Raw genomic sequence first — 13,507 nt, forward strand, 5'->3', positions numbered from 1 at the left:
CTGCTGGCAAATTGGTTCCAGTAACTAATAGTAAATAGCTTTTTGGCCCAAATCCTTAATGTTACTCTTAATTTGAATGAATAAGCACGTATAATGGGAACCATGGAGACTGTCCTGGGGAATAAATACACATATAAAAACAATATAGCTCAAAGCCCTCACATCACCAAACCACTCAATCTCATTTTTTATCCAACAGGATTATTTGGTGTCCTTAGCAATATATCGAGTCCACATGATATTTCAACATGCACATTATAGTTAGTTGAACAGGAACCTATGCCACTTATTATGGGATACTTGGAGTCATAATCAAATAGCATTTTGTTGCCCTTGAAGACTGCCACAGAACTATGGGAGTTTAAGTCTATTCATGTCCTACAAGAATTCTAGGCTTTGAAGAATGCTCAACGAACAAAGTCCAGTAGCCAAGTTCTATGACTCAGAATCAGGCTCCATACTCTGGGTCCAAAAACAACAAAAAAATTGCCAGGTGATACTGAAGAAATGACAAGTAAATTTCCATAAAATTAAACAATTGAGGCTGGGCGCGGTGGCTCACGCCTGTAATCCCAGCACTCTGGGAGGCCAAGGCGGGCGGATCACGAGATCAGGAGATCAAGACCATCCTGGCTAACAGAGTGAAACCCCATCTCTACTAAAAATACAAAAAAATCAGCCGGGTATGGTGGCGGGCGCTTGTAGTCCCAGCTACTCGGGAGGCTGAGGCAGGAGAATGGCGTGAACCTGGGAGGCGGAGCTTGTGGTGAGCCGAGATTGTGCCACTGCACTCCAGCCTGGGCGACAGAGACTCTGTCTCAAAAAAAAAAAAAAAAAAATTAAAAAATAAAAGTAAAACAATTGAGTTGCACATGATTTAAAGGATGGTGTTTAAGATGGAGAAACTGCTTCTCAAAGATCTCGGTGCCATGAGAGAAATTACACATGTGAGGATTAGTTTTTCTCTGTGTACCACAAATCAAGCTGGGCGCCTCCAGGTAAGGCCAGGTTTCCATGAGGCACCCTTTCATCAATCTCAGATTTTTCAGAGAAAGGAGATTTTATCTTCCTCCAACTGGAAGCCTGCTTATCATAGAGTTAAATGTTCCAGATTAAATAGATGCACCGAGTAACAGACGGGAGATCTGTCTGCTGATCTTTGGAAGACACCCACTTCTCTCCCAGGTGTCCTCTTCTTTAAACTGCACAGGAGGCCTGCGATCATCATATGGAGGCAATTTAAAATTGATTCACAATGCAGCGAGCTGCTGTCAGAAGCTGTGAACACTCATCCGTCCCACGGGAAGCCCATATGGATGTTAATACATCAGTCACAGGGGGCCTCGCAGGAAGCTGGTGCTGCCTGCTGTGCTGGAGAGCCAAATCAAATGAACACGCCAGAGCAACACAAAGGGTGGATGGGCCTTTAGGAGGGATCAACTGGAAGGAAAAAACCAGGGGAGGAAATTATTCACCTACAATAATAACAGAGCTTTTTCAATAAAAGGCCACACTGAGGGCTCATCATGACCATGGTGAAGGGATCCCAGAAGGAAACTTAACTTTCTCTACTGGTTGAGGAACTAGGAAAAGTAAAACCAATCAGAAAGAGGAATGTATAAACAGATAGTGAGCATTCATGAATATCGCTCACACCTGAATTCAGAATGAAGCCAGATACAAAATAATGGACATGGAAATGACCGCATTTCTAGAATTTCGAACACAGGCAAAATTCATCTGCAGTATTGAAAGTCAAGGTGGTGGTTAACCTTGGTGACTGCAAGGGGCATGGGAGGGGTTTCTGGGCAATGATCCTGCTCTGTTCCTTGATCCAAGGGCTGGTTACACAGGTGGCTGCCTTTGGTGAAAAGTCACTGAGCTAGACATGTATGATTCATGCACTTTTCTGTATGTGTATGGTATTCCAATATTTAAAGTTTAGATTCATTTACTTATTCAAGAGGAAGTCGAGGGGAAGGCTCGTAACCAGTTAACACATTAGATTAGGTCCACAGGCAAATCAAGTGCCCAAACTTTGCTGTTAAATGAACCTCTCTCTGGTTCTCTGGCTACGTCAACTGCGGTCTTGCCAATCAGCCAGCCTGCAGTCTAGAATGTGTCTGTTTCGTGATCCATAAGATAGGAATAATAATAAAACACAGAGGTCGCAGGGGTTGCTGTAAGGATTAAAGTGGTAACAGCTGCAAAACACTTAACACAGCACTTGACACCTGCAGTGAGTCTTCAGGAAATGACAGTATTGTTATCGCACCACCACGACTTAAAAAAAAGCCAAGTGAAGATACGTTGAATTGAGGGCTTTATCTCAACCAGTGGACAAGTATGTGGGTCAGGGAATGCGGAAAGGGAGGAAGACGCAGGGTGGGGATCAGGAAAGCACAAGGGCAGTGATGAGGCAACAAAAAATACAAAATTCTTAAGTCATCAAAGGTGAGAGTGGGGGAAATGGCAGTTGGCAAAGACTAGAACAAACGCCCAAAGAGTAGAGATGGACGTTTGGATAGAATCGTGGCAAACTGCAGGGCAGACAGTCAGTCCTGGATCCCTCCTTAGGGGCCATACAGCGAAGCCCACCTGCATCTCAGAAAGCCTCAGAACTGAGACCCAGCCCCCACCTAGCTTTCTGAATCAAGCTCCTACAGATCAGGATCGCTTCTGCTTCTGAAGTCTGGTGTCAGAATCGAAAAGAATAAAGCCCACTCGACTTCACAGATGTAAAACATGAATGATATAAAAACCCATTAAGAGCAAGGGGCTTTTCATTTACTGGGCACACAGCAGAGGTGAAGGAACTAAAAGCAAAGAGTCCCCACCGGGCTCCTTCGCAGCTGTGGTGAACTGGAAAACAAGACTGTGTTCCAAGGGGGCAGGTTGTTTTTTCCTAGCAGACCAGGCTCCTGTTAATAAAACTATGCTGTGTTCTGTGGTCAAAGGAAAACAGGTGTTTACAGGGTTGTTGGTTTCCTGGAAATAGGAACTGCAGTGGCAGAATCAAGTAAACAATAATGAAGAACCACAGACCCCAGAGAGGACGGCTGTGGTCAAGCCCCGCTGCCTACGGACTTGGCACTCTGGATGTGAAATTGTTAGCTATATTAACAAGGATCAAAAATCTGATCGTGTCAAAAACCTTCATTCGCTCTTCAAGCTCTTTAGGGCTCATGAAGCCCTTTACAATTTAGTGCCAACAAGTCTTACTTCATGTGACCTTAAACTCCCAGCCACACAGGACAACAGGCCAGTCCCCTAAAATATCACATGCTGTCACATCTCCAAGTTGCGCACAAACTGTTCCCTCCCGCTAGAACAGCACCGCTTCCCTCCCAAGTACACGCCGCTTCCTCCCTCCCTCTGCCTGCCACGAACTCCCCAGCCTTGATGATTCTTTCCCAGGGTCCTAACCTTTCCTATTAACCTCTCTAATAGTACTTCTCATATGGTGAACATTTAAGTCTTTCCGATTCCAGAGTTCTTCAGGGGCAGGCAGAAGGTTTCACCAGCCAGCACTCCATCAAAGGATCAGAACACCACAAGCTGTCTACTGTTACCTAATCACTTATATATTGAGGAAAAGTTGCCCTGGTAAGGAAAATCTGCTAAAATAAGGTGGGCATTCCTCTCTAAGCCCCTGGGTTATGCCAGCCAACTTTTCCCAGGCAACGTCTAGCAATTATACCAAATGTCACTAAGAGATGGTAGCAGTTTCCTAAGGGGGAAAGGCAGTCTCTAGACAGCTGACTTAGACCACAGAAAAGATAATGAAAGCAATGACAATAATGAAGTGAAATCCATAGCTTTCCCCTAAGCCAGCTAAATCCAGTGGATGCTGGGCCCTTCCCAAGTAAGCTGTGGCAGAAGCAACCAGAGGTCACATGGAACAAGCTCCATCCTGCATCTGGGCCCTGGAAAGCAGGACCCACACAGTCAAGTGCAAGAAGTCAGAAGGCACAAGCAATTGCTTCAGTTTAATGACCAGTAACATGTGGGCACCAAGCCTAACTAACTTGAGCCTCATTTCCCCATTTTTACAATGTGCCCTGACAAAACTTAGCCTATGAACAGGACTGCTGAGGTGTGAAGTAATGAAGCCACATGGGAAAGTACTTCAAGAAAACTATGAAGCGCAATATAGTCAACCTTTGTTTGCCACATCACAGGAGGGGGCTCACTATCCCTTACTGTTTAGAGATGAGGGAAGGTGGCACAGGATAGGCTAAGTAACTCGCCCATAACCACGGCTAGTAAGCGGTAGACCAACTCCAGCTCAGCCCAGCTGCAAAAGTGGAGCTGTTAATCTTTACCTTAGCTTCCACATCAGCACTACCTGTGACGTTATCCCCTCAAGAGGGATAACGTGGGACCCACCAGGACAAAGACACCTACCCCACACATCGTGAGCAACATAAGGCATGTCGACATCGTGAGTGTGACTGTGGGGGCTGGGGGAACCGGGCTCCTTATGGAATGGATGAGAATAATGTAATTTATGATTCCAGAGGATACTCTTAGCCTGAAAACTAATAAAGGCGGTGGCTGGGAGGAATAGTGACATGGGGCTCATAAGAAAATCAGTCTTATTATTCTAAGACTTTAGAAGAAAGTATAATTTACCTGCTATGGGTAAAACCTTCCTCTGTCAATTTTTTTTAAGGGTCTGCACATCTAACCCATGACATCTACAAAATTTTTCCAGTTTGGCCATTTGCGTATTCTTCCAAATAGAAAATATGCAGAACAGGGTATAATTCCCACCTTATTTGGAAGACAGCATTTCTGTGTTAACGGAGGGCTTTATTAACAACTAACTTGAAAGTAGCAAACTTCAAAGCATTAGGTTGGGAGACTCTTTGTTTCCTTATTTAGAGGCATACACTCTATTTTCATTTATTTTTTTTAAAGGCAAATACAAAACTTCTTAAAATGGATATGTAAAAGAAGATTACAAGCAAAGAAAACAAGAAACAGATGACCTAAGTTGATAAATGAGGAAGTATTCCAGCCAAAGTCAACATTTAAGATTCTGAGTTCTAGGACCTAACTTCCTCTATCAATTACACGTTTCCAAACTTCTCAATGTGCTGGGGCAGGAACAAGGCTCCTAAACAGGACAAAGATACAAATGGAGAAATTCTTGGATGGAAAGTAAAACAAAAAGAGGCTTAATATATTGCTATTTCAAAGCTAAACTAAAAAATTCCAGCAAAGGAACTATCACTACAGACAAAAACGAGCATTATCCAAGCAAGAAATATACACACTACATTTATATCCCATAAACCAAAAGTCATTTCTGACAAGGTGAAGAGGGAGAGAGAGAAGTAAAGTGAGGAATTATTATAGCTAAACACAACTGACATCAAAAGGAAGGTCCTCCCAGCTACTCAGGAGGCTGAGGCAGGAGGATCCCCTGAGCTCAGGAGTTTGAGGTCACCCTGGAGATCCCCATCTCATTTTTCTTTTTAAAAAGGAACGGCCTCACCTCAACTTAATTTCAAAAAATTAAGCTACATATTCCTATATCAGAAGGTAGAAAAACAGAAATTAAACTAATACCCACATGGCAATAATAAGGAACAAAATGGGCATGTTATTTTTAGCATTTAATAGACCAAAAAAAAAAAAAAAAACCTACCCAAATATCACTGTGATGGTCAATTTTATATGTCAACTTGATTAAATCAACTAAGGGACACCAGAGTGGCTGATAAAACTATTTCTAGGTGTGCCTCTGAGGCTGTTTCTAGAAGAGATTAGCATTTGAATAGGTAACCTGAGTAAAGAAGGTCCCCCACCAGTGCAGGTGGGTATCACTGAAGGCCTGGACAGGACAGAAAGTTAGAGGAGGAGCAAGTGTGCCCTTCACTTGAGCTGGAACATCTACCTGCTGCTCTCGATTATCAGTGCTACTGGTTCTCAGGCCTCAGCTTGGAGTAGAACTGCGCCAGCTTTCCCGGGCCTCCAGCTTGCAGACAATAAATCATGGGATTTCTCAGTCTACACAGTCGTGTGAGCCAATCCCTCCAAATAACTCCTTCTCCATATCCATATCTATAGTTTATTGGTTCTGTTTCTCTGGAGAACCCAGAGTCATACAACCCCATCAAATAAAAAGAGGGCTGAATCAATTTTCAAGTCCACTAAATAAGCGAGCTGTGGAATCTAGACAAAAACAGAGAAACCAGAAGATCAGAAACAGAAAAAGTGGGGTGAAAGGGGGAAGCCCCCGGCCACTGAAACTTTTTCTTGGCTAAAAGCCTGGAAAGGGTCTCTAATCACTGCTGCAAGTGTTTTCCTATGAGGCAATTTTACCCCAAACGTAGTTAAGATTTTTCTTTTCCCTTTAGGCTCTAAACCAAAAAGGTACTTTAAAGATTTATTTAAACACTAAACAAGTGGGTAGAAGATTTCTAAATTACATGTCTGGCATTAAAACATAGGGTGAAAGGACCTGTAACTACCCTAGACTCTTAAGCCAAACTATTATTAGCCTGAGTTATTACTGACCTCTAGGTGCTAATATATAAGGCAGGTAGAGCACAGCCCCCAGGTATTTATAGGGAGAACAGCAGTGCTACAGTGCCAGAAAAAAAAAAAAAAAGTCTAACTAAACTTTGGAATTTCTCTTACCAATGATCTCCACAGAGCTCAGGGGAATAAATGTCCTAAAACTAAAAATGAATTCAAGTTATGCTGAACTAAACAATACCAATTAAATCCAGCCTTGAGGGTATGAAAACAAGCTCAGGGTTACCTCTTATAAACCAACACTACTTAATAATTCGAAAATGCGAACAAGGGATCTCCTTTAGAAAAGAATGAATCACAGGATCTTACACAATCCTGGACCTGTCTCCCACCTATTCAAGGCAACGAACATTTGTTTCCTGGGTATCTATGCTCAAGGGACAAGACTTCGGGAACTTCCATCCTCCTGGGGAGGAAGCAGATAGAAACACGGCTTGTACACGATTATAATCCAAGCTCTCAAAAGTGTGAGAAGTGTCATAAGATGTTTCACGGTGCAACTGGAGGGAGACCATAGATGGGAAGGCATCCATGAAGGCTTCATGAAGGAGGTAGCAACTCAAGTGGGCTTTGAAGGACAGAAAATACTTCAACAGAAAGAGACCAGTGAGAAGGGAAGCTGCTCCAGGGAGCAGGGGCTGGAGTCATCAGGGAACAGAGGCTCATCCCATTGTGTTAGCACAGGATGTAAAGCACACAGGACATGGCACCGGAAAAGCAGGCTGGGGGGATATTACCAGCGGGGCCTTGAAGGGCACGTCGGTTTATACAGGTCGAACATCCCTTATCCAAAATGCTTCAGGACCAGAAGTGTTTCTGATGTCGGATTTTTTTCAGACTTCAGAATATTTACATATACATAAATGAGTCATCTTGGGGATGGGACCCAGTCTAAACACAAAATTCATTTCTGTTTCATACAGACCTTATGCACTTAGCCTGAAGGTGATTTTAGTTTTCCCTTGGGGATACCAAATAAACTGTGTGTTGTGTGTTTTGACCGCACCTTGTCACATGAGGTCAGGTGTGGAATTTTCCATGTGTGGCTCATGTCGGTACTCAAAAAGTTTCAGATTTTGAAGCATTTTGGATTTTGAATTTTCGAATTAAGATGCTCAATCTGTATTCAACTTTTGAAGATCTCTGTGCAACACATGGACCTGATAAGTGCTTTACAATAAAGAATACACTGACAGCAATCTGATGAGGAAGGAAGACAACACTCAGCTAGGACCTTACTGACAAAACTGGGCATGAGAAAGGTGAGAATTTTAACAAAGAATAAGACTGTTAAAAAAAAAACGAGTTAAATGGGGAAGAATCTAACACTAAAGTTTGGGCTCAGATGTCAGAGGGAATGGGAATGATGCTTTAACAAAGAGAAGAAGTTTGGGGAGGCTGGAATGGGTATGAGAGAGGAGGGAAGGTGACCAGGGTGGTTGGGAAACCCATCTTGTCATCTTAACACCGGAAACAGGAGTGTGGAATGGTAGCACTACAAGTCATCTTACTCTGTTCCACTCTGATTGACAACAGCGTGAAGTCACCGGGCCTTTGCACATGCTGCTCTCTCCACCTAGAGGTTCAGCCCCTTCCCCTATTGGGTTAGTGCAGCTCTGAAAACCCTTCTGCAGGGAATCCCTGCTTGACTATTCTCAATGGGATCAGTCCCCCATGCTGTGTCATAGGCTTTCTAGGACACTGTTCCTCTGTAATAGCTCCGTGGTAGCCTCAGGGTCTACAATTCTGCCTTGGATTTTGTGATTATTTAACTCATGTTCCCCTTGAAGGATCCTGTTCAGGATATGCCACACCAAATATGCCCTTTCGGTATATTGGTTATATTGAGCTGAAAACACTTGAGAAATGAGAGATCCAGGAAAGACTTTCTGACCTCTCTCTTTCTATACAAAAACAGGCCATAAAATTTCCCACGAGAAAGGTGCCCTCCCTGTACCAGAAACAGAAGAACAGCCTTATCACCAGAGTCTGGGAATCAACACTAAAAGGGATTTCCACAAATAAACTTACCAAAATAACCTTTGTCTCCCACAAGTTTTCCCCCAATATATCTATCTCTTAGTTACTTCCCCACAATTTACTGCCTCCAGCCCAAAACTCTTTTTCTTGTCATGTCTTCACAAATTTGTCATTTCTTTGTATAAAAGTGATACAAGGTCAGGCGTGGTGGCTCATGCCTGTAATCCCAGCACTTTGGGAGGCCAAGGTGGGTGGATCACCTGAGGTTATGAATTCAAGACCAGCCTGGCCAACATGGTGAAACCCTGTCTCTACTAAAAACACAAAAATTAGCCGGACATGGCGGTGTACGCTTGTAATCCCAGCGACTCGGGAGGCTGAGGCAGGAGAATCGCTTGAACCCGGGAGGTAGAAGTTGCAGTGAGCCGAGATTGGGCCACTACACTCCAGCCTGGATGACAGAACGAGACTTTGTCTCAAAAAAACAAAACAGAACAACAAAAAAAGGTGATACAAGCTGTCTGCTCTGGTCGCTTCTTTGGGTCTTCATTTCCTTGTGAAGACTCCCATGTACACCTAAATTCTTAATAAGACTTGCATGCATTTCTCCTGTTAATCTATCTTATGTCAGTTTGATTCTCAGGCCCAGCGGCAGACTCTGAGAGGGCAAAGGAGAATTTTTCCTTCCCTGCACCCCATCCTAGGCTGTGAGCTCCCGGTGGGGTCCCCTATGCCTATGCAGGAGGTCTCAATAAAATCTGTGAAAGTGTGGATGGAAAGGAAGTGACAGGATCTGGATCTTAGTGAGCAGGTGATGTGGGAACCCTAAACCATGGCCCACAAGAGAGGGCTGAAGCGACAGACAAATTCTAGCCAGAAGAGAAGCCTCAGGGTGGTGTGGAGGTCTCCAAACACTGAAGAGCTGCCATGAGGATGATAGATTAGCAGTGTGCTGTGTGGTCTCAGCGGGTAGGAAAGAGCCAGGATTGATGAGTCAAAGTTCCAGGGAGACAGATTCAGCTCAAGGGCTAGAAGAGTTTTCACACAGTCATGGAAAATGCATTGTTCTGGGCAGCAGTGGGTCCCCCATCCTTGGACACGCACGGTCAGAGGCACACTGTCACTGCACGAGGCTATCTTAGCAGACTTGAACCATGGATGAGCATTTATACTAAAGGGACATTAAGGTCCCTCCTGCCCCAACTGAACTCTTCTGGCTGTAACACTCAGGAGGCACTCATCCACCTGCACATGGATCCCTCAAGCTCTCTCTCTGTGCACGACACAGACTGTGCCTCCCCGGTTCCATGGGAAACTCATTCCTTCCTGCATGCGCTTCAGCTTCACCCCACGAAGTCTTTCTGACCCTAATTTTGGTCACTTCTTTACATGTCTCCCTATCACCCACTGCTCTGCCTCAAGAGCACATATCACAAGTCAAACCAGGATATTTACTTTTCTTTTAATGACATCATCAAGCCCCCAAGGGCAGAGAAGGCTGAGAGCACCCTCTTTCCTGGAGCATGCCTGGCATCGCACACAAAGCCTGACAGTTCACACTCAGTCTATGAATGGCAACTGTGCCTTCCGTCTGCCTCACCCAAGCATTCTTTCCGTGGGTATTTTTCAGAGAATTATTTGTATAACTTTTAACGCCTTGTTCACTCTATCCTGGACACATGAGTTTGTCCTCATTTCTCTTAAGTGCCTCAGACCAGCCCTACTCAACGTGTGGTCAGCAAACACTGGCTACTGTTTGCAGTGAGATGAGTGCAGTCATCGAGAGTGAGCGACAGCAACCTGAGGACTTAGGGCTGTTGACTCTTGTAACAACAAAAAATGGACTTGGATTTGGTATCTTTTCCCTCCTATTCATTTGTATTGTATGTTACAAATGTACCTATCTTTGACTTACGGGGCGGGGCGGGGAACTGGTCTGTCACCATAAATAGTTTGAGCAGCACTGCCTCAGGCAATATTACTTTACTAAATAGTAAGAACAACAAGTCCTCTCATACTAATTAATAGATATGGGCAGTCATACGTAGAAAGCTGAAACTGAATCCCTTCCTTACACCTTATATAAAAATTAATTCAAGATGGATTAAAGATTTAAATATTAGACCTAAAACCATAAAAACCCTAGAAGAAAACCTAGGCAATACCATTCAGGACATAGGCATGGGCAAAGACTTCATGACTAAAACACCAAAAGCAATGGCAACAAAAGCCAAAATAGACAAATGGGATCTAATTAAACTAAAGAGTTTCTGCACGGCAAAAAAAAAAAAACTACCATTAGAGTGAACAGGCAACCTACAGAATGGGAGAAAATTTTTGCAATCTACCCATCTGACAAAGGGCTAATATCCAGAATCTACAAAGAACTTAAACAAATTTACAAGAAAAAAACAACCCCATCAAAAAGTGGGCAAAGGATATGAACAGACACTTCTCAAAAGAAGACATTTATGCAGCCAACAGACACATGAAAAAATGCTCATCATCACTGGCCATCAGAGAAATGCAAATCAAAACCACAATGAGATACCATCTCATGCCAGTTAGAATGGCGATCATTAAAAAGTCAGGAGACAACAGATGCTGGAGAGGATGTGGAGAAATAAGAACACTTTTACACTGTTGATGGGACTGTAAACTAGTTCAACCATTGTGGAAGACAGCATGGCAATTCCTCAAGGATCTAGAACTAGAAATACCATTTGACCCAGCCATCCCATTACTGGGTGTATACCCAAAGGATTATAAATCATGCTGCTATAAAGACACATGCACACATATGTTTATTGTAGCACTATTCAAAACAGCAAAGACTTGGAACCAACCCAAATGTCCATCAATGATAGACTGGATTAAGAAAATGTGGCACATACACACCATGGAATACTATGCAGCCATAAAAAAGGATGAGTTCATGTCCTTTGCAGGGACATGGATGAAGCTGGAAACCATCATTCTCAGCAAACTATCACAAGCACAAGGACAGAAAACCAAACACTGCATGTTTTCACTCATAGGTGGGAGCTGAACAATGAGAACACTTGGACACAGGTGGGGAACATCACACACTGGGGCCTGTCAGCAGGTGGGGGACTGGGGGAGGGATAGCATTAGGAGAAATACCTAATGTAAATAACGAGTTGATGGGTGCAGAAAACCAACATGGCACATGTATACCTATGTAACAAACCTGAACATTGTACACATGTACCCTAGAACTTAAAGTATAATTAAAAAAAAAACCATATATATATATATAGAGAGAGAGGCAGTAAGATTGTATATAACCCAGATCCTGGCAACAATGGCAAAGTTCATTTTTCCTTCTGATATTAAGTCTATCTTCCTCACATAATATGGCTCAAACATGAAAGAGAATCCTAAAAAATATATTTTAGGCCAGGCATGGTGGCTCATGCCTGTAGTCCCAGCACTTTGGGAGGCCATGGCAAGAGGATCACTTGAGCCCAGGAGTTTGAAACCAGCCTAGGCAACCCAGGGAGACCCAGTGTCTCTAAAAAAAAAAAAAAATGGAGAGAGAGAGAGATTTTAATTATTTTAGAGCAAGCAATGATTGCCAAAGGCCAATGGCGATTTTGACCAAGATGAGAAAAGTACCCCGACATAGTATCACAACATTGGCCACTGTGTCCACTGTCCTTGTCCTTAGGCACATTGTGATTCTAGTTTGCATGGCTCTGAACACAAAGAAATGCAAGGTGCTCACAAGCCAAGGACATGAATACTTTAATAAGCATGATATTACTTCTGTCTTACAACTGACCCTGTTAATACACACACACACACACACATATAAGGAATAGGGTCCAATTTAACTGTGCCCACCCACCAGCCTTCCACCCTAGCATCACAGCTCACAGCTCTGCTCACCCGCCTTCCCCCACTGCATCTTCTATTACACCCAAGTGGGGGCTTAGCAGCTGAACACACGCCCCGTACCTCTAACTCTTGAAGCTAGCTTTTTCCCTAAGGATCAGCTGAACTTGGCCTTATTTGCCTGTTATTCCACCAAAGGTTCATTGGTTACTGGTATTACTGCTTCTCATCACAACTTTACTGGTTTGCCCTTTATCCACTCACCAATCAGTAGAACACAACAGCTACAACACTGCTGGCAACCACAGATAGGAAATGCTCGCAAGTGCCCCAAGGACCTCCCAGGCTGGAAGCAGGGGGGCATTCCCAAATTCCCAAGAAAACACACCAGGTAGTAACTAGTTCATGGGTACTCAACTGGAAGAGAACTACCAGCTAAGTGAACATTAAGCAATACTACCCCTGACTCCCTTCATTGGGCACAGAGGTCATCATAAATTCCTAACATTGCTACTGATTCCTAGTGTAGACAAAAACCTCATTTCATAATGAATCAAATTATTGTGAAACAGATATTATAATATATGAAAAGTAGAGCAATGGGAATCGGCTTTCCTAAAAAGCAGGTGACAGGGTAAGAAATTCAATTTTATCTCATGCTGGTGGTTTATTTGAAACAAGGCTCTTATCAAAACCACACAAGGATGACCGGGCAGCTGAGTGGACTGCTCAAAATAATTCACCATGCTGGGCGTGGTGGCTCATGCCTGTAATCCAAGCACTTTGGGAGGCCAAGGCAGGAGGACTGTGTGAAGCCAGGGCCTCACAACTTTACCGGTTTGCCCCTTATCCACTCACCAATCAGTGGAATACAATAGCTACAACACTGCTGGCAACCACAGATAGGAAATGCTCACAAGTGCCCCAACGACCAGCCTGGGCAACATAGGGAGACCCTGTCACTACAAAAATAAATTTAAAAATTGGCCAGGTATGGTGACACACGCCTGTAGTCTTAGCTACTCAGGAAGCCAAGGCAGGAGGATGGCTGGAGCCTAGGAGGTCGAGGCTGCAGTGAGCTGTGATTGTGCCACTGCATTTCAGCCTGGGCAACAGAGCA

At 43.7% G+C, this 13,507-nt stretch overlaps 1 protein-coding gene across 23 annotated transcripts in view, besides 2 other annotated features; it reads right to left on the minus strand.

Moving 5' to 3' along the window:
* Positions 1-13,507, minus strand: part of TLE1 (TLE family member 1, transcriptional corepressor) — a 105,865-nt gene that overhangs the window by 11,312 nt on the left and 81,046 nt on the right. The window lies entirely within an intron of this gene.
* Positions 196-891: an enhancer, noted in NCBI's record as "H3K4me1 hESC enhancer chr9:84210105-84210800 (GRCh37/hg19 assembly coordinates)". NCBI's record gives its function as "activates a minimal SCP1, AML or CMV promoter by ChIP-STARR-seq in primed H9 embryonic stem cells {active_cell/tissue: H9 hESC(primed)}" and the evidence as "EXISTENCE:reporter gene assay evidence [ECO:0000049][PMID:30033119]".
* Positions 892-1,585: an enhancer, noted in NCBI's record as "OCT4-NANOG-H3K4me1 hESC enhancer chr9:84210801-84211494 (GRCh37/hg19 assembly coordinates)". NCBI's record gives its function as "activates a minimal SCP1, AML or CMV promoter by ChIP-STARR-seq in naive and primed H9 embryonic stem cells {active_cell/tissue: H9 hESC(naive and primed)}" and the evidence as "EXISTENCE:reporter gene assay evidence [ECO:0000049][PMID:30033119]".

Source organism: Homo sapiens, chromosome 9 (assembly GCF_000001405.40).
Source record: "Homo sapiens chromosome 9, GRCh38.p14 Primary Assembly".
Classification (NCBI taxonomy): Eukaryota; Metazoa; Chordata; class Mammalia; order Primates; family Hominidae; genus Homo; species Homo sapiens.